A 19,921-nucleotide genomic window follows, 5' to 3' on the forward strand; every position below is an offset into this window, starting at 1 on the left:
GCCACTGCACTCCAGCCTGGCGACAGAGCAAGACTCCGTCTCAAAAAAAAAAAAAAAGTATATTGCATATATGTATATATTTTGCACACCATATAATTATCACGACATCTTTATTGCTAGTTAGTAGGTTCCTTGACTGGGGTCATGTCATCTGTGCCTGACACAGGAGGTAATGTTTATTCAGAAATGAAGATGGCGGCTGGGCACGGTGGCTCACACCTGTAATACCAGCTCTTTGGGAGGCCGAAGCGGGCAGATCGCTTGAGGCTAGCAGGGTGAGACCCCATCTCTATCAAAAACACAAAAATAAGCCGGATGTGGTGGCACATGCCTGCAGTCTCAGCTACTCGGAGGCTAAGATGGGAGGATTGCTTGAGACCAGCAGGCAGAGGTTGCAGTGAGCCGAGATCGCGCCACTGCACTCCAGCGTGTGTGACAGAGGCCCTGTCTCAAAAACAACAAAAAAGAACATGGGAGAAGAGGCATTGATGAGGAAAAATCTACAAAGAAAGCAAATATCAATTTGTCAAGCTATTTGCAAACGTCTTCCCTTTCCTGTATTAATATTTTCCCTCTCCCCACTTTTGGCCCGAGGATCTGAGTCCTCGGGTCAGGCCGAAATCAGACCGCGTCCATACCCAGCCTCCTTCGAGGCCTAGCTGTAAAAACCGCTGAGCAAAAGGAATCCAGAATCAGCCCTCAAGCAACTCAAGACAAGTTAGCAATTTCCGCCGGGAAGCCGTGAACATCGGCAGCCACTGGCGTTTCCTCCGAGTCCTCGGAACTCCGGAAACTCTGGGAGCTTTTAGCCCGCCCACCAGGGGAAAGCGGCCCGGAGCCGGCGCCAGGTGGAGCCCATCCCCCTAGGCCTGGCGGGCCGCAGTACCGCCAGGGGCCTGCGGGAGGCGCACGCGGCGCGGCCTGAGGGGAGGGGGAGAACGGGCGGAGGCGGTGCGCTCGGCGCTTCCTGTTCCGGCGCCAGGAGGAGCCGCGCGCTGCTGGTGCTGTTGCCGCCGCTGCTCTAGCTGCCGTCAGTCAGGCTGCGCCCGCGTCTTCAGGGCCCAGTCCCTCGGACCCATCGCCGCTTCTAGACCCTACTGCGGTCTCGGATATTGCCGGGTGAGGCTGCTTCGGTACTAGTGGGAGTCGTGAAGGGGAATCGGGGAGCTGGGGTTGCGGAGCCCGCGGGCGCGGCCAAGCGGGAAGCGGGCGCGGTGACCGAGGTGCATCGAGTCACGTCCAGTGCTCGGGCCGTGGTCGCCTGCCTGGCACCAGGACTAAGCGTTTCTATCGGTCGCCTTCCTCCACGCTGCGGGCTGCCTGGGGATCGCCCCCCAGGGAGAAGGTGTCGGAGGCCGCTGACGTCGCGCCCGACGGGTTTCTGGGCGCCTGACGTCAGGTCTGGCTGCGGGGCGGGGCGGGCGCGGGCCGGCCCCTCCCCCACCCCTTCCCGGCGGGCGCGACCCGCTAGGAGGCCGGTTCGCTCCGGTTGATCCCGGACTCCCTTTGTTCGTGCGTCCCTAAACGGCTGCCGGCCTCGCGCCCCTTGGCCCCGATTTCCCCTCTACCCCCACCCTATTACACTCATTCATTAATTTTTAATAAAAAGGGAAAGGCCTGAAAAGATTCTTACAAGAGTCTCGGGCGCTTGTTAATCCGCAGTGTGACAACGTTCTGGTTATGACTTACTAGAGGAATTGCTCACGGATACATTAGATGAATACCCAGGGCAAACCACGAGAAGGGCAGAATTCAGTGATCTCCTTTTTTAGGACTGAGGAGCACATACCTGCGATAGCGTATGCATAGCTGGACCGTTTTCCTCTTTACCTTGAAAAGCAAGAGTACAGCTTTTAATAGGTAAAGATTCCAGTGTTAAAGCATGAAGCCAGGCTCACTCGACCGCAAGAATTTTTTTTAGTTTTACTACTAGAGAAATACACACCTGGGGGTTGTAAAGGTCTGTTTCGAAAAGGAACCCTCATTACAGGCAAAGGTAGCCTTCAGAAACATTTCATAAGTTCTTTGTTCACTGGTGTTCTTTGGGGGAAGAATAGAAATTTTTCATGCTGGCATCTCTGAGCCCACAATGCAAAGCGAGTTTGCTTCAGAAACTTGGAGTGAATTGCAAATATTGGAATGTTCTTTTCCTCACTCCAGGCGGAATGGGTAAAATCCATCCCCAGTCTCTTAACTGAAACTTTTGAAGCTAGTGTGTTTTGAATTCAAAAATACTTGGATTTTATCTTCATCTTTTTAGAAAGTCATGTTAGACGAGAGATAACACCCCCAGCAGAGTGGGGCACCCCATAATCCAACATTAATATTTGCAGCAATAGATGTGAACATTCATTCTAAGTGGGGGCGAATAGAAACTATAAATAGCTTCAGGTCACATTTTGCCACCATGTAAGTTTTGTGCCAAACTAGGGCAGATAAAGATTTATGGACCTAAAAGTAGGCATCATAAAAGCTAATATTTGTTGAGGTTTTGCTATATTCCAGGCAGCGACTAAGAGATTTGTTTATTAAAAGTTTTACAGCAAATCTATGATGTGGGTACGATTCCGATCTTCCTTTGCCTCAAGTTTGGAGAGTTGGACTTGTCAACTCTGGCCGAACCAACCAGTGAAGAGCTGCAGTTATAGCTAGATAATCATACTTTAACGTTTACTTTTTTACCTATAAGCTAGATGTCCACATACAAAGAAAAGAGAATTTGGTATTTGTTTTCCACCCAAGCACTATTTTTTTAGGCACTTGATTGGACAGAGTCCCATTTAGTTCCTCGCAACATTACTGGCCTGGTTTTTATTTGTTTTGTTTTTTAAACTGCGTGCTTTTTACAAATAGTATGGCCTGTTCTTTATAGTTCGGGTTCATTCAGATGAGCCGACTTTTAGTGAAATAATTCAAACCCTCGTCTAAGGTCACTCTGCTAAGACTTTAATACAACCCTTCCCTTTCTCGCTATATTCTAACCCATCTGAACTGCTTATACCTCCCCAGAGATTCTCCCAGTTTTTACACTAACTGCTCTTCTTTCCCTAGGGCCCATTTCACCGCCCTCTACTCCCGGCTCTTTCCTTATGGTCCTTATGGACTGCAAAAGACAGCACATCTCAGGAATCTCCATGTAATACTATAATTTCTCTAAAGGCCAACACATTGTTTGGCATATATGTTCCAATAAGTATATAACTAAATGCCAAGAAATATTGCAGGTTGCATATCCTTTATCCCAAATGCTTGGGACCAGAAGTGTTTCAGATTTTGGATTTTTTTTACATTACACCAGTTGAGCATCCAAAATCCAGAATGCTCTAATGAGCATTTCCTTTGAGCGGCATGGTGGCACTCAAAAAGATTCAGATTTTTGAGCATTTCAAAACCCCCGTTTTTGAGTTGCCCAAATGTAAAAAATGGAACATAAGCAGATAAATGAGCCAATACTAAAAACTAGCATGTATTCTAATTTATAATTTATATTTTCTTTTTTTTTTTTTTTTTTGGAGACGGAGTCGCTTACTGTAAGCTCCGCCTCCCAGGTTCCAGCGATTCTCCTGCCTCAGCCTATCGAAGCGAAGTAGCTGGGATTACAGGTGCCTTCCACCACGCCCAGCTAATTTTCTGTATTTTTAGTTGAGATAGGGTTTTACCATTGGCCAGGCTGGTCTTGAATTCCTGGCCTCAAGTAATCCACCCACCTCGGCCTCCCAAAGTGCTGCGATTACAGGCTTGAGCCGCCGCACCCGGCCATTAATTTATATTTTCAGTACGATACATATCATCCCCCCATACTAAACAAATCAACCCAAAAATTTTGATTTCGCTTAATTTCGCCTAACAAATATCTAACATGTATATAGCACTTTATAGATTAAGTGTGTTACTATTTTCTGTGCAGTGGGCAGGAATTATAACTTCTACAGATGGAAAATGGTCTCTTATTGAGAAGTTTTTTGTCAAAAGATAACCGTCAAAAGGATTCATGTCCGGGTTTCATCACTGTGTAGTCCCATACTGTTTATCACTCCATCACAATTTGAAGGCTGTCTGAAATATCCATGAACTCCACTGGTAATTCATGGAGTTCAACTCTCTTAACCACCCTCCTCCCTGACCCATGATTTTTACCCTAACAGCCATGAGAGTTTCCAAAAATGTTATGTTTTACTTTTCTAGTGTATGTCAAAAGACATTTTGTACTGTTTTAAAATTACTATTCTTGCTATTCAAAGAATAAAAAGTATTGTTTTTCAGATGATGGGTGGATCATGCTATAAAATGGTAACAAAGTTTTGGAAATAATAGCTTTAGATTATTCCAAAAAGAAAAAAAAGAAAGCCTTTCTTGAGTATAAATTGTTTTTATGAGTTCAAGGTTACATTGGCCTCATCTTAATAATTAGCGATGATTCAGATATTTTGGAATAGCTTTATATTTTTATTTATTTTTCTTTTTGAGACAGAGTGCCACTAATATTGCCCAGGCTGGTCTCTTAACTACTGGCCTCAAGCGGTCTTCCCACCTCAGCCTCCTGAGAAGCTGGGATTACAGGTGCACACTACCAAGCGCGGCTTAGAATAGCTTTTTAGAAAACCTAAACTTTTTATGTTCTGCAACTCTCCTCATATTGAAACGTTCATGTCCAACTGTTTTTCACCTTTTCTAATGAAAGTATTCTCCAAAGAACAAATTGGAATGCTTCCAATTATAGTTGTTCCCCCTTATCCTAGGGGGACACATTGCAAGACTCCCCAATGAATCCCTGAAACTGAAGTCTGTATACACTGCCGAAGCCTAAGTATACCATGTTTTTTAGATCTAATAACCAAGATGGGCTGATAGCGTATACAGCATGGATACACTGGACAAAGGGATGATTCACGTCCTAGGCAGGAGGGGGCAAACTTTCATTTTGCTACTCAGAACATGCTCTTGCCCCATTTAAAACTTAGGAATTGGCCAGGTGCAGTGGTTCATGCCTAATCCCAGCACTTTGGGAGACTGAGGTGGGCGGATTACTTGAGGCCAGGAGTTTGAGACCAGCCTGGCCAACATGGTGAAACCCCGTCTCTACCAAAAATTAAAAATTAGCCGGGCGTGGTGGCACGTGCCTATAATCCCAGCTACTTGAGAGGCTCAGGTAGGAGAATCACTTAAACCTGGGAGGCGGAGGTTGCAGTGAGTCAAGATCACACTACTGCACTTTAGCCTGGGTGGCAGAGCGAGACTCCATCTCAAAAACAAAACAAAAAACTTACGAATTATTTATTTCTGGAATTTTTCATTTAATATGTTCGGACCTTAGGTAATTAAAACCACAGATAAGGGGGGATCACCCTAACATGAACGCTGTTTATTCTAGGAATGGAGAGCTGGTCACTTTACTAAGACAGTGCCGTAGAACAGAACTTGTTACTAATTCCTATGCTTAGGGCTTTGTTTTTTAATCACAAGATTCTAGCACCTCCCCTATCTTCCAGACTTGGATTTTGAACTTTAAAATTTTGAAGTAGTGTTGTGAATCAGTTGAATATTATTAACTTGTAGAATAATTTATGTAATTCCATGACTAGGTAACTGTATAATTCTGAAAACCTGAACAGTCAAGGCCATTTGGTTCACTTTGATTCTCAACTCCAGAATTAATATGAACTTTGATACAGAATCATTTTCTATTTCAGAAAGGCTAACCCTGTTTAAAAAGCATGTTAGCCTTACAACTTACCGTATATTTTCTACACTGTTAGTCCTAAAAATTTTATTGTGTGATGTGATTGACGTTAAACCTTAACATGGGAATGGGTTGTATGTGGGTTTTTTTGTTTTTTTGTTTTTGAGACGGAGTTTGCACTGTCACCCAGGCTGGAGTGCAGTGGCTTGATCTCAGCTCACTGCAAGCTCCGCCTCCTGGGTTCGCGCCATTCTCTTGCCTCAGCCTCCTGAGTAGCTGGGACTACAGGTGCCCACCATTATGCCTGGCTAATTTTTTGTATTTTTAGTAGAGACGGGGTTTCACCTTGTTAGCCAGGATGGTCTCAATCTCCTGACTTCGTGATCCGCCCTCCTCGGCCTCCCAAAGTGCTGGGATTACAGGCGTGAGCCACCGCGCCCGGCCATGTTTTTTGATATTCTGAATAAAAAGGATATAGCAGTTGGGATAGGCTTGGGTTCTTGTCCTTTATGTTCTTGTCCTTTCCTCATGATAATCAAATCATAATTAGAAATAAGATGCTAAGAATACAAAGGTGGCTCTATGTTAATACTGTATTGATAGGTCAAAGGAGAAAAAGCATGAGATCAATTCATTAGATACTGAAAAGTCTTTTGAGGGAATTTAATGTCTTCTTGCTTTCTTTATTAACAGAATAGGAATAAATAATAGCATAGGCATAAATTAAAAATAATGTAATTTTTTAAAATCTCAAACTAAAAATGGGAATCATACTTAAACATTAGCATTCCCAGGAGAGTTGGAGCAAGACCTCTGTGCCCACTATCACTCAACATTTCATTATTTAAGTCCTAGCAAGTGCAAAACAGAAAAGATGCATAAATATTAGAGAAGGAAAGTTATTTTTTGCAAATGGCGTATTTTTTATCTGGAAATACCAGAGAATCAAGTGAGAAACTTTGAAGAATAAAATAATTCAGTAATGATGCTTCCTACCCTAGGTTAATTAATATAAAGAAGAGTTAAATTCCTATGGCATATTTCTGGTAACAAAAACATCACTAAACTTTTAAATAAAACCCAAAACACTTCTAGTATTAAACATTTAAATGAGCTGGGCGCAGTGGCTCACGCCTGTAATCCCAGCACTTTGGGAGGCCAAGGTGGGCGGATCACAAGGTCAAGAGATGGAGACCATCCTGGACAACATGGTGAAACCCCGTCTCTACTAAAAATACAAAAATTAGTGGGTGTAGTGGCCCGCACCTGTAGTCCCAGCTACTCAGGAGACTGAGGCACGAGAATCGCTTAAACTGAGGAGGCGGAGGTTACAGTGAACCAAGATCGCGCCACTGCACTCCAGTCTGGCGACAGAGCGAGACTCCATCTCAAAAAAAAAAAAAAATTTAAATGATTTCTACTAAAAATTTTAAAAATTAGCATGCCTATGGTCCCAGCTACTCAAAGGCTAAGGTGGGAGGATCCACTTGAGCCTGGGAGGTGGAGGTTGCAGTGAGCTGTGATCACACCACTGCACTCCAGCCTCGGTGACAGAGCAAGACCCTGTCTCAAAAAAAAATTGAATGAATGTGAGCTGTGTATACATTTAAGAAAGATTAATAAAAAGATAATTATTTGCCTCCCTCTTCCAGTTCAGGGTCTCAATGGCTGGAGCCTTTCTTGGCAATTCAGAGTCCAAGTTGGGAACCAGCCCTGAACTGGACGCCATCCCAGCACAGGGTGCTCTCACCTACACCCACGCTCACAGACTGGGCCGCGTAGACACATCCATTCATGTGCATCTTTGGGATATGGGAGGAAACTGGAGTACTTGGAGAAGACCCATAAAGATGGGAGAATGAGCCAGCTTCACACAGACAGTGACCTCAGCTGAGACTTTTTGTTTTTTCTTCTCATCAACATTATAACAAAACAAAGTTGAATGAAACGTCTTTCGAGGACCTGCTATAGACTAAAATTTTAAAACCCTGTCCCATATATGAACGAACAATTAGAAAATACAGTAGAAGAAAAGAGCCTATTTACAACCACAGGGAAAAGTTTAACAGAAATCCCTTAAAAGAAATGTATATAGGAGATCTGATCAAGAAAATAAACTACATGAAAAGGACAGGAACTAAACAGTCCTCTGTGTCTGCATTTGCGGGTAGAAAATATTCAGGGAGCCGGGTGCGGTGGCTCATGCCTGTAATCCCAGCACTTTGGGAGGCTGAGGCGGGCGGATCACGTGAGGCCAGGAGTTCAAGAGCAGCCTGGCCAACGTGGTGAAACCCTGTCTCTATTAAAAATACAAAAAATTAGCCGGGCATGGCGGCGCTTGCCTATAATCCCAGTTACTCAGGAGGCTGAGGCAGGAGAATCTCTTGAACCCAGGAGATGGAGGTTGCAGTGAGCTGACATCATGCTATTGCACTCTAGCCTGGGCAACAGAGTGAGACCCTGTCTCAAAAAAAAAAAAATACTTGGGGGAAACAATAAAAATAACCATAGAAAATATAAGTTAATATAATTATATAGTATTCACACTTTTAAGTATTATAAATAATATAGAGATGATTTATACGGGAAGATGTGCATAGGTTATATGCAAATACTACACCATTTTATATCAGGTACTTGAGCATCCTGGGATTTGAGTATCTATGGGGGTCCTAGAACCAATCTCCCTCAGGTACCGAGGGACTATACTATACCTTGTTCTTGAACGAGATGATTTGACATTTTAAATAGATGTTCCCCTAGATTAATCTGTAAATATAATACATTTCCAACCAGAATGCTAACACATTAATTTTTTTTTTTAACGATCTGGAAAAAATAAAAATACATAGGAAAATCTGAAAAAAAAAAAAAAAAAAAAGACAGTAGGGTGACTCACATTAATGTTTATTTAAAATATATTGTAAAGCTTCTGTAATTAAAATGGAATGGTACAGTTGCAGACCAGTAGAAAAGAATAAAGTCAGCTGGGCACAGTATCTCACGCCTGTAATCCCAAGACTTTGGGAGGCCGAGGCAGGCAGATCACTTGAGCTCCGGAGTTCAAGACCAGCCTGGGCAACATGGTGAAACTCCATCTCTACAAAAAAACTAGCTGGGCAGGATCGATTGAGCCCAGAAGGTCGAGTCTGCAGTGAGCTTATGATGGTGCCACTGCACTCTGGCCAGGGAACAAAGCAAGACTGTTTCAAAAAGAAAAGAATAAAGTCCACAATATCTGTGGGAAATGAAGGAGGCTCTATAGCCTGCTTGTTAAGAGCCTAAGTTCTGGAGTCATACTGGGTTTGAACTGCTTCTCTCCTTGTCATTAGCTCTGGGACCTTAAACAAGTTAACTTGCCAAGCTTCCTCTTCTCCAGCTGTAAACTGGGGGTGAAAATAAAATTTGTATCTGGGTTCTGGAGCTACCAAGTGAGGTGGTGCACAGTACACCACCATGTTCCATGTTTCATGGTAAATATTGGATAGATGCTAGTTATAAATGGCAGCAGTATAGTGTAGTAAAGGTAGCTTGTCCAATTAGCTGAGAAAAGATAGATAGTTGATAATTATTGTTTGGAAGAATTTAAAGGTTTTAAACAAGAAGTTAAACCATAAAAATACTATATGAAAGCAAGGCAGAGTAGGGAAGGCCTTTGTAAATATATCACAAAATCCAGAAGCCACGTATAGGAAAACATTGATAGATTTGATGACATGAAATTTAAAACTTTTGTATAACCAAAATATGCCCTTTAAGAGATCTACAGATAAAAGGAATTTTGGAGAAATTTTTTTTTTTTTTTTTTTTTTTTTTTTTTTTTTTGATATGGAGTAGCCCTCCGTTGCCCAGGCTGGAGTGCAGTGGCGCAATCTCGGCTCACTGCAAGCTCCGCCTCCCAGGTTCATGCCATTCTCCTGCCTCAGCCTCCCAAGTAGCTGGGACTACAGGCACCCGCCACCACACTGGGCTAATCGTTTTTTTGTATTTTTAGTAGAGACGGGGTTTCACCGTGTTAGCCAGGATGGTCTCGATCTCTTGACCTCGTGATCCGCCTGCCTCGGCCTCCCAAAGTGCTGGGATTATAGGCGTGAGCCACTGCACCCGGCCAAAAAATTTTAATCTCATATATGAAAGCTAGTCTGCTTAGTATCTTACAAAGCAGTGAGAGAAAAAGATGTGCTACTGAGTAATAAAATGATCAAAGGCAAAGAGTACCTACAGTCTTTTATTTATATAAAGTCAAAGAACAAGCAAAATTAAGTCAAAAATTGACTGCCATGAGGCAAGGTAGTTGATTGGAAAAGAGCATGAGTAAACTTTCTGGAGTGAGAAATGTTCTGTATCTTGGGGTGGTTATAGGGGCGTATACAATTATCAGAGCTTGTTAATCTGAACACTTAAGATCTCTGCATTTTGTTGAGTGCTAATTACACTTCAATTTAAAAATTGGTAAAAGTACTCCAGGACATCAATAAATTTAAATTTGGGAGTACACACAGTGGCTCATGGCTATAATCCCAATACTTTGGGAGGCTGAGGCAGGAGGGTCCTTTGATCCCAGGAGTTTGAGACCGGGTCTGGGCAACATAGTGAGACACCTGTCTCTGCAATAAATTTTTAAAATTTTAAGAAATTTGCTGGGCATGATGGCACACACCTGTAGTACCGGCTATTAGGGAGACTGAGGCAAGAAGATGACTTGAGCCCAGGAGGTCAAGATTGCAGTGAGCTGTGATCTCTCTCGCCACTGCACTCCAGCCTGGGTGACAGAATGAGACCCTGTCTCCAAAAAAAAGACGAGGAAATGTAAGTTAAAATAAGACGCTAATTTTTAATATCTATTGTCATTATAAACAATAAATTTAATAATATCCAGTGGTAAAAGGAGTTAGAGAAATGAGTGTAAATTGGCATGGACTTTTCAAATGGATTTTAGATAAATTTATCTGTTGACTCTAAATTCCATGTCCAGTGCTTTTTCCTGGTGTTAGATTCTCACACACAAACAAAGAAGTGTTGAGAGATGTTCACTGTATCATACTTAAAACAACTTATACTGCTACAAAAAGAAGGTAAATTAAATTGCAAATCATTTTTGTATGATGTGCAGCCATTAAAAGGGATGAAGTTAATAGAGCTGTATGAACTATTATGGAAAACTTTCCTATGTAAAGAAAAACACATTACATAAATAAGATTCCGCTTAAGTAATAATAATGTATGCATAGAAAGTTCCTTAAGGAATATTTAAGAAATGGTGAACACTGATTTTGAAATTTTTCTTTCTTCCTTCATTTCTTTTCTTTTTTTAGGAAAATGTCTGATGAATTTTCGGTAAGTTGATCAGTTTATCTGTGATAAGTTTTTCATCTCTTAAGAAAAACAACATGGTCCTAACTGGGCTACGTAAATCTTTTCACTTAAAAGAGATGCTTTAACCAGGCATGGTGGTGTGCACCTGTAGTCCTAGCTACTTGGGAGGATCCCTTGACCCCAAGAGTTTCAGGCTGCAGTGAGCCATGATTGTGCCATTGCACTCCTGCCTGGGTGACAGAGTGAGACTCTGTCTATAAATAAATAAAAGAGATGCTTTTTGTGATTCTTGGCTTTGGGGGTAGTAAAGAGATTTTGATAGGTGATTTGCCTTAGTTTACTGAGATAATAGCATGTTTGGAAATGTTTCCTGTATTTATGAAAATATGTATTTCTTTAAATGAAAATTTAAGATGTTACTTCTGTTGTTCTCTTTTACCCTGATAGTATTAATAGCCAACATTTATTAGAAATTATTATATACCAGGCACTCTGTGAAAGTGTACTACATGAAATATCATATTTAAGCCTCAAGTTAACCCTAAAACAGTTTTGAAACTGAAGAGGCTCTATCTCAGAGTATGTAGCTCCTTTGAGGTTAAGCCAGGATTCAAATCCATATCTTGACTGTTAGTTCTATCTTCTTAATTACTGTATTTTGTTGTATTAATACAGCAGAGAAATGAAGCACAATATGATTAGTTGTATTTAGAAAACGAGTTTCTCTGAAGAATTTGCACTGTAAAGTTGATACGCAAAGTAGCATCTCAAGGTTTATGTTAAATAGAGTATTTTTTAAATGACTAGCTTAGCTTTTGAAGATATTCTTGAGGTTTATAATCCCTGCCCCTATAGGTTACTATTCTCTGTGGGTTTATAATGGTGTTCGATGTAACTTTTCCCTAGATAGGAAAGACGTATCTGTTTTGTGTTCCAGTTGGCAGATGCACTACCTGAACACTCCCCTGCCAAAACCTCTGCTGTGAGCAATACAAAACCTGGCCAACCTCCTCAAGGCTGGCCAGGCTCCAACCCTTGGAATAATCCGAGTGCTCCATCTTCAGTGCCATCTGGACTCCCACCAAGTGCAACACCCTCCACTGTGCCTTTTGGACCAGCACCAACAGGAATGTATCCCTCCGTGCCTCCCACCGGACCACCTCCAGGACCCCCAGCACCCTTTCCTCCTTCCGGACCATCATGTCCCCCACCTGGTGGTCCTTATCCAGCCCCAACTGTGCCGGGCCCTGGCCCCACAGGGCCATATCCTACACCAAATATGCCCTTTCCAGAGCTACCCAGACCATATGGTGCACCCACAGATCCAGCTGCAGCTGGTCCTTTAGGTCCATGGGGATCCATGTCTTCTGGACCTTGGGCGCCAGGAATGGGAGGGCAGTATCCTACCCCTAATATGCCATATCCATCTCCAGGCCCATATCCCGCTCCTCCTCCTCCCCAAGCCCCTGGGGCAGCACCACCTGTTCCATGGGGCACCGTTCCACCAGGAGCCTGGGGACCACCAGCACCATATCCTGCCCCTACAGGATCGTATCCCACACCAGGACTCTATCCTACTCCCAGTAATCCTTTCCAAGTGCCTTCAGGACCTTCTGGTGCTCCACCAATGCCTGGTGGCCCCCATGTGAGTGTTCAATTTGTTATTTAAAGTGTACTAATTGTACATAGCACAACTGACATTGTTTCTCCCCAGTTTTGGATGGAAGATTAAGAAGGCTTTTAAGTTTTTAAAAGAGGGTGTGTGTATATTAAATAAGTAAATTTCAAACCTTCAGGTAAAGCATTTAAAAGGATGAAAGCACTGTTTTAAGTATTCCTTGTGCTAAAAAGAAGAATTTTCCAAAGATCCCCAAAGACTTTGTAATGTAGTAAGCAGTGTCCTCAATAGCATCCTTTAGGTAAACTCTGAGATTCATTTCATTGGGCTTTTTGTTTTATTATTATTATTTCTCAGTATTGTTTTATAGCATCACACCAAAGTACAGTTCAGTAAAAGCAGTCTCTACCTGTCTAGCTTGATAGAGGTAGATTTTTAGAGAATCCAAGGCAATGAGTAGGTAATGTTCATCTTTCAAGCAGTTCTCGAGCTCAAGATTACACCCCTATTCTTTATTGTCAGTTACATGTAATGCTTTATGCTTTACTGTCAGACAACCCAGTGTGGGGTTAACATCTTAGTTGAGGAGCCTGCCTTGGTCATATAACCAAATGGAAAAGTACCCCACTTCCCCTGTGAGGTAAGCCAAACGAGTATCCAAACGCAGAGTAAAGATTTTCCTTAGGAAAAAAAATCTGTTAACTCTTTTTTTTTTTTTTTTTTTTTTTTTTTTTTGAGACAGTCTTGCTCTGTCACCCAGGCAAGAGTGCAGTCTCTCGGCTCGCTGCAATCTCTACCTCTCAGGTTCAAGCGATTCTCCTGAGTAGCTGGGATTACAGGCGTGTGCCACCACACCGGCTCATTTTTGTATTTTTAGTAGAGATGGAGTTTCACCATGTTGGCCAGGCTGGTCTTGAACTCCTGACCTCAAGTGATCCGCCTGCTTCAGCCTCCCAAAGTGCTGGGATTACAGGCCTGAGCCACCATGCCCAGCCAGGAAAAAAAAAAAATCTGTTAACTCTTAGTACGAAAATAACTAGCCAGATCTCTGATTAGATTAGTCAAACATCCAATCCAGCTATAAAGGAAAAGAAATCTTTAAAGTACCCCTAAAACTTCCTCCTTGCATTAGTGTAATTTCTTTCTTGCTATATATATTATCTAAAAATATTTGTTTTGCAAAGTGTATGCCAGAGTAAATGATGTGACTTGCTGTTTGGATTTATTAAGCAATAAATTTACTTTAAGCCACAGTAAGGAGTTAATAAACTCCATTTGCAAAATCTAGAAGTTGACTTTTTCTTTTTTCTATTGCAGTCTTACCATTAAGTTAACAATGGACGAAGAGATGACGCTTTGCTTTTTGAAGTACATGTATATGCACATGAATGCATATATAAAAATTGCTGGTTTCACTATTAGAGGGCATTCATGAAAGAACAACTCTTGCACCTCTCAGAGAAGATAACTGCCTCTTGTACTTGGATGCGTAGTACATCATATGTATACAATCAGATAAAAGCATAGAAGTAAATCATTCGGATGTGATTTTTATTTGGTTTTCATGGAAAGTTAAAGTGATAAAGTATATTGAATAGTTCTTTGACAGAATTTGTTTAAACTATGAAACTACACACTTAAAAATCTAAGATGTGGATTATTGTTAGAATCTGCAACTTCATTGGCAAATTATTTCAAGTATTTTTCTATAATCACTTTCCCCTTCTAAATAAATAAACTTCGAGAATAACCCATCATAATCCAAACAAATGATGCCTCAACATTTTGAGCTGCTCTGTCGGACAAATAAACCTGGTCCTCTTGAGGTTATATTTTGGATATACATTTTTAAACTGTCAGTAATTATTGTCAGATGTGGAGTTCAATAGCCAGCCAGTGTTCATTTTTATCCTTGAGCTTTTAGTAAAAACTTCCTGGTTTTATTTTTAGTCATTGGGTCATACAGCACTAAAGTCTGCTATTTATGGAAACTAACTTTTTTGTTTTTAATCCAGGCCAACATGTATGTAAATTAAATTTTTAGATAATTGATTATCTCTTTGTACTACTTGAGATTTGATTATGAGATGTGCATATTGCTTTGGGAAGAGCTCGAGGAAGGAAATAATTCTCTCCTTTGTTTTGAACCTCAAACTAGATAAACCCTAGGAATTGCTTAACTGCAACAAGTAATTTTCATTCCCACAAAAACCTGAGGCAGCTCTTTTGCCCAGAGCGTTCCCTGTAGCCACCCCCACCCCACTTGCCCTTGGTTCTTTAGAAGGAGCACACACATCCCTTGATTCCTCCCTGATGTGGTAAACTGGCACACTCCAGGGGTCTAAAACATAAAACAGTTGTGTTTAGGGAACCTTAAGTCATGCAGACATGACTGTTCTCTTTGTACAAGTGTGAATCAAAATATGTATCTCTTTTTCAGAGTCTGGTTAAGCTATGTCATTGTCTACTGCATAGTTTCCTGAGTCTGTTTGTAAAGTGCTTATGGCTAACAGTTCAGTTCTGTATTTGTTGACAGGTAAATAAGTGGAGTTGAGTGCCATCTTTGAAAAAATTACCCTCTAGCTCTAACACTGAAAATAATAATAAATTGTAGATCTCTGCAACTAAGTTTAAAGCAGTGTGACTGTGTTGCTTAAATATCAAGTATTGTTTATAACCACCAAAAAAAAAAAGCCCTGGTAGTTTTTTGGCACCTTATGTTTAAATCAGATTCTTAGATTTGGAGTAGACCTGACCTTGTTATTTATTAGATAACATTTTGAATGTATCCATTGGATTTCTAAAATGTATTGTGAATTTCTCAGACAAACAGGATTTATGCTGGAGCTCTGTTTTGCTTAGAAATAAAATATTTAGTAGTTTATTTCTGCTCTAATTAAAATGTCAAGAATGCCAAATGCTGCCAGTTTTTTGGTTTGATAGCTACCTCCTTCTAAGAAAGCAAAATGGTTACCTTTGAGAGGAACATTCAGTGTTTAATCATCCCTTATGTTAACTAGATGATAGATTCAAGCTTTTAGAAATGAGAAAGTAGAAACTAATTTGTTAAGATATTTTCAGACTGCGGAATGTTGTTAGCTTTTTCTTTCACTTCTCTTCAAGGACAGGTGTTAGCTGTCTACAATACTGTTGAACTCTGTTGTCAAAGTAGCCCCCTTAGTCTACAAGGCAGGTAGCCTTGGCTTGAATTATCAATATCAAAATGTCAGTTAACCATGGAGGGATAAAGTAATGTGAAAAGTGAGATGGCTGCAAAGATAGCTCTCCTTACAGTTATTTTGGCTGTCCTACATTGGGATAAGCTGACAAATTAGCAGTATTTAGTTTAACACTGGAGCAAATATAATTTGAGTAGGAAGAAGAGATAGCAGGTTTGGGAATCTATAATTATGAAGTCCATTGATTTTGGGAGAAAATCTGTTGCTAAAGGATTTGAAGGGCCATGAACACAATTTGGGATTATTACTCCCTATAAGTATAATAATTTTGCTAGTGACCCATACTGTCCAGTGTGCCCTAAATCATACTGCTATTGTACTCCCTTTGTTTTCAAGGACTTTGCAACTGGTATTTGGGGGAGATTTTTTTTTTTTTTTGAGACGGAGTCTCGCTCTGTCGCCCATGCTGGAGTGCAGTGGTGCTATCTTGGTTCACTGCAAGCTCCATCTCCCAGGTTCACACCATTCTCCTGCCTCAGCCTCCCAAGCAGCTGGGACTACAGGTGCCCGCCACCATGCCCGGCTAATTTTTTTTTTTTTTTTTTTTTAGTAGAGATGGGGTTTCACTGTGTTAGCCAGGATGGTCTCGATCTCCTGACCTCGTGATCTGCCCGCCTTGGCTTCCCAAAGTGCTGGGATTACAGGCGTGAGCCACCACGTCCGGCCGATTTTTTTTTTTTTTTTTAATGTAAGAATGGAGATAAAAGGGATAATATAATTTGCTTTTATATTGTTATTTTTGTAAAGCATCTTTTCTTCAATTCTTGTTGGCATTCTGGGCCAAAATATTTCAGGTTGGTTCGGTGTGGAGTTAAGAAAAGCAGGCGTTTTAGTGGAGAAATGGGGAACAGCATCAAGAAAGGCTTTTTTCCTTTTTTCTTTTTTTTTTGGAGACAGAGTCTTGCCCTGTCACCCAGGCTGGAGTGCAATGGCGTGATCTTGGCTCGCTGCAACCTCTGCCTCCAGGTTCAAACGATTCTTCTGCCTCAGCCTCCCAAGTAGCTGGGATTACAGGTGCCCGCCACCACACCCATTTTTGTATTTTTAGTAGAGACGGGGGTTTCACCATGTTGGCCAGGGTGGTCTGAAACTCCTGACCTCGTGATCCGCCTGCCTCAGCCTCCCAAAGTGCTGAGATTACAGGCGTGAGCCACCATGCGTGACCTTTTTTTCTTTTTAAAAGGGAACAATGTTGCTTTCAAAACAAGACATGCTAGGCTGAAACTGATTTATGGAAAAGACTGCTTGTTAGCAAGTATATTTGGTCTTGAGGGGGATACAGATTATAGAATATGCTGACATTTGGGCTTCAGAGGAAGAATTTTCAAATCTAATGGAAATAGTTGAGGTGTTCAGGAATGCTGTTTCTTGGAGTTGGAAGCTTAGGTTTTGAAATGTTGAAACCAAAAAGACAAAAATTAAAACATAGACCTTAGGTCGTCATTCACACCCGGTTCTCAAGAATCAAGTGGAGCACTTCAAAGACCTTGGCTTGTCTGTCCCATCCTGCCACTTTCTCATCTTTTCATGCTTTTGAAGACACCATTTACAGCTCTGACTCAGCCCTATTTTGTGTAAAGTAATATATTGATTATTCAGAAATAGACAATACATTTTTTAATTACCCAAGGACTGACTGTTTTGTGCATTTTACTGTTGGTTGTCTTCAGTAGAGAATAGTAATAGGGCAGAGAAAAGTATATATTTTGCCTCAGTCAGTCCCACCACCACAATGGACTATTGGGATATTTTCTAAAAAACCAATCAATTTGCCCATGATTACCTCACAAATAATTAGTGCTACCTGGGGTACTCTCAAATATACAGCTTTTGAAACTGTAGATGAAAAAAGCTCTACTCAGAGTTTTTGTCAAGACTGTGCCTGGGTTGAATATCAGTCAATTGCCTACACTTCTAAACAATAAGTGCCAATGTCTCAATTTTCTCACCCTGAATGATAGAAGCTAGCTTTATCAAATGCCAAGGTTAGAAAGCCTGGAAATAAAACTTAAGCACAGACATTCAAGTTTTTGAAAAGCATAAGCCTAAATTCAGATAAATCACACTGATATATTGTACTATGCATAGAAAGTTGTAGGTGGCGTTCAGGGAAGACTTTGATTTTAATAAAGCAATATTTAGTATTGAAGACAAACACTTTTTATTTTCAGATTTCTGCCAAGTAAAACAGAAATTGCCAATAAAATAATCAGTATTTTGTAAATGGCAGGCAAGCTTCTGGCTGTCGAAAACATCTGAGTCATTTATTCAGTAGACAATATGTCCTTGATCCAGGTTCTTTGCCAGCTATAAGGGAATCCCTGTCCTTGAGAGGCTCATAGTCTATAAGTAACATTACAGAATTTGTTAGCATACCCATTCATTATTAGTTTTACCTAAACGTGTTAGGATCACTACTGGTGGAAATTGTAACCAGCCTTTGGGCATCTTAAAGGGTGACATGTGGCATGCCTTTTTTTTTTTTTAAGAATTTAATGTTTTTCAAGATTGTAGTGTTGATCAGCGCAACAATTCAAGTGTGCAAAGTAACAGGATAGTTTGCCTCTTCACTTTACCCCTGGATAAAGGCACTTTCACTGCCTGTCACTGATCAGCAGATACTGACTTGTTGCCATTAAGTGAACTTGACTTCTTATGTGTGCTCTATGAGTTTGTTGTAATTTTCTTCTTGAAATTGTGATTTTTCACTGACAGTAATGACAAATTTAATGTATGTAATTGTCTATGCATTTTAAGTTAAACTGCCTAAAATGTGATTTGAGACATATACATATGTTTGTATTATAAATTGTAAGCAATCAGTTTGAGATACTAGGTTTTATCACCTGCTGCTGTATTTGTAAACAAAGACAAATGTTGCTTTAAGAAGTAATTATAATTAGGAATAGGCTATGGATGTGATACTTGGTATTTTTTAAGATAAACTTGTTTGCTTTTGTGTATTATACCTGGAAACTTTTTTTAAAAAATGTATTTTCATGGTTTCACAGATTTTTCATGTTATTTTATTCTTTAGGCCCAATTCTGGGCTTCTCTGAGCAAGTCCAGAGCCTAATTAACTGTAAATTTGTTGTCAAAAAGGAAGAAAAAAGGGCCTGAGATACCTCTTTGCATGTGACCTGCATTCACTAAGGATATCTGGAAACCACCCTTCCTCCGCAAACCCTCTCAGCAACATGGTGTCCATTGTGGTGATTTTCTCTTCTTTTAAGGCTAGGCTACTCTTGGTAACCAGATTATCCGTATATATGATAATATGAAGTCAGGGAACTTTCTCTGTCTGTCCCTACTCCCCTCACTCCCCCACTTTCTGTTATGAAAGATAGTTCTACTTTTATCATTAACTGCTACGCATTTAGTGAGGGTCACATTATTAAACTTGGAGTTTACCATTTTCCCACAGGAGATTTCGCTGGCATTCCTTGGAACTCCCAATTTCAGTAGGGCAATGAATGAATGAATACTTTGCAGTGCTACTTTTGGAAGGAATTTCTGCTTTTTGCCTTATGATTGGACAAAATGCAGCTGTAAAATTTTAAATTGTTTTTGATATGTTATTCAATATCCCATGAAAGTATTCACCTAAAGTGGAGTTATGAAATGGATGGTGAAATAATAAGACCATTCTGGAGCAGGGCCAGTTTCTTTTTTTCCTGTTGTGAGATGACATTGCTCTGACAAACATGCTATCGTGGGTTACCTGACCCAGGCAAGTCCTTTTTTATCACCGTATTAATACTCTTAGCACCAATCCTTTTGCAACTGATCTCCAAAGCAAAATAGAATTCTAAATCTTAGCTCACTTATTTTAAATAAGGCATGCAATAGAATTCGAGTGCCAGGAGAGGATTTGGGTCATCTCATAGAGCTTATTCCTGTGGCTTTTACTTATTTTTGGGACAGTCTCACTCTGTCGCCCAGGCTGGAGTGCAGTGATGCAATCTCTGCTCACTGCAACCTCCGCCTCCCGAGTTCAAGCGATTCTCCTGCCTCAGCCTCCCAAGTGGTTGGAATTACAGGTGCACACCACCAGTCCTAGCTAGTTTT

At 40.9% G+C, this 19,921-nt stretch overlaps 1 protein-coding gene across 2 annotated transcripts, besides 5 other annotated features; it reads left to right on the plus strand.

Annotated features, from left to right (window-relative positions):
• Positions 325-1,014: an enhancer, noted in NCBI's record as "NANOG-H3K27ac-H3K4me1 hESC enhancer chr14:55517727-55518416 (GRCh37/hg19 assembly coordinates)". NCBI's record gives its function as "activates a minimal SCP1, AML or CMV promoter by ChIP-STARR-seq in naive H9 embryonic stem cells {active_cell/tissue: H9 hESC(naive)}" and the evidence as "EXISTENCE:reporter gene assay evidence [ECO:0000049][PMID:30033119]".
• Positions 325-1,023: a biological region, named in NCBI's record as "NANOG-H3K27ac-H3K4me1 hESC enhancer GRCh37_chr14:55517727-55518416".
• Positions 554-753: an enhancer, noted in NCBI's record as "active region_8422". NCBI's record gives its function as "activates an Ori minimal core promoter by ATAC-STARR-seq in GM12878 lymphoblastoid cells {active_cell/tissue: GM12878}" and the evidence as "EXISTENCE:reporter gene assay evidence [ECO:0000049][PMID:35858748]".
• Positions 784-1,023: a silencer, noted in NCBI's record as "silent region_5778". NCBI's record gives its function as "represses an Ori minimal core promoter by ATAC-STARR-seq in GM12878 lymphoblastoid cells {active_cell/tissue: GM12878}" and the evidence as "EXISTENCE:reporter gene assay evidence [ECO:0000049][PMID:35858748]".
• Positions 963-19,510, plus strand: MAPK1IP1L (mitogen-activated protein kinase 1 interacting protein 1 like). Of its 2 annotated transcripts, none has more exons than NM_144578.4 (4): positions 963-1,119; positions 10,996-11,017; positions 11,934-12,641; positions 13,932-19,510. In NM_144578.4, the coding sequence occupies exons 2-4, from the start codon at positions 11,000-11,002 to the stop codon at positions 13,941-13,943; spliced, it is 738 nt and encodes a 245-aa protein (NP_653179.1). In that variant the 5' UTR covers positions 963-1,119; positions 10,996-10,999; the 3' UTR covers positions 13,944-19,510. The 2 variants fall into 2 exon arrangements, with proteins under 2 accessions (NP_653179.1, XP_011535664.3); XM_011537362.3 differs by lacking the exon at positions 963-1,119 and adding an exon at positions 10,471-10,489.
• Positions 1,374-1,533: a silencer, noted in NCBI's record as "silent region_5779". NCBI's record gives its function as "represses an Ori minimal core promoter by ATAC-STARR-seq in GM12878 lymphoblastoid cells {active_cell/tissue: GM12878}" and the evidence as "EXISTENCE:reporter gene assay evidence [ECO:0000049][PMID:35858748]".
• Positions 19,511-19,921: the final 411 nt, after the last annotated feature.

Source organism: Homo sapiens, chromosome 14 (assembly GCF_000001405.40).
Source record: "Homo sapiens chromosome 14, GRCh38.p14 Primary Assembly".
NCBI classification, from domain to species: domain Eukaryota; kingdom Metazoa; phylum Chordata; class Mammalia; order Primates; family Hominidae; genus Homo; species Homo sapiens.

Bases quoted from the DNA above. Each gene is read 5' to 3' on its own strand.
- MAPK1IP1L (XM_011537362.3), top strand. The intron at 11,018-11,933 runs GTAAGTTGATCA...TTTGTGTTCCAG, and splicing joins AAATGTCTGATGAATTTTCG to TTGGCAGATGCACTACCTGA.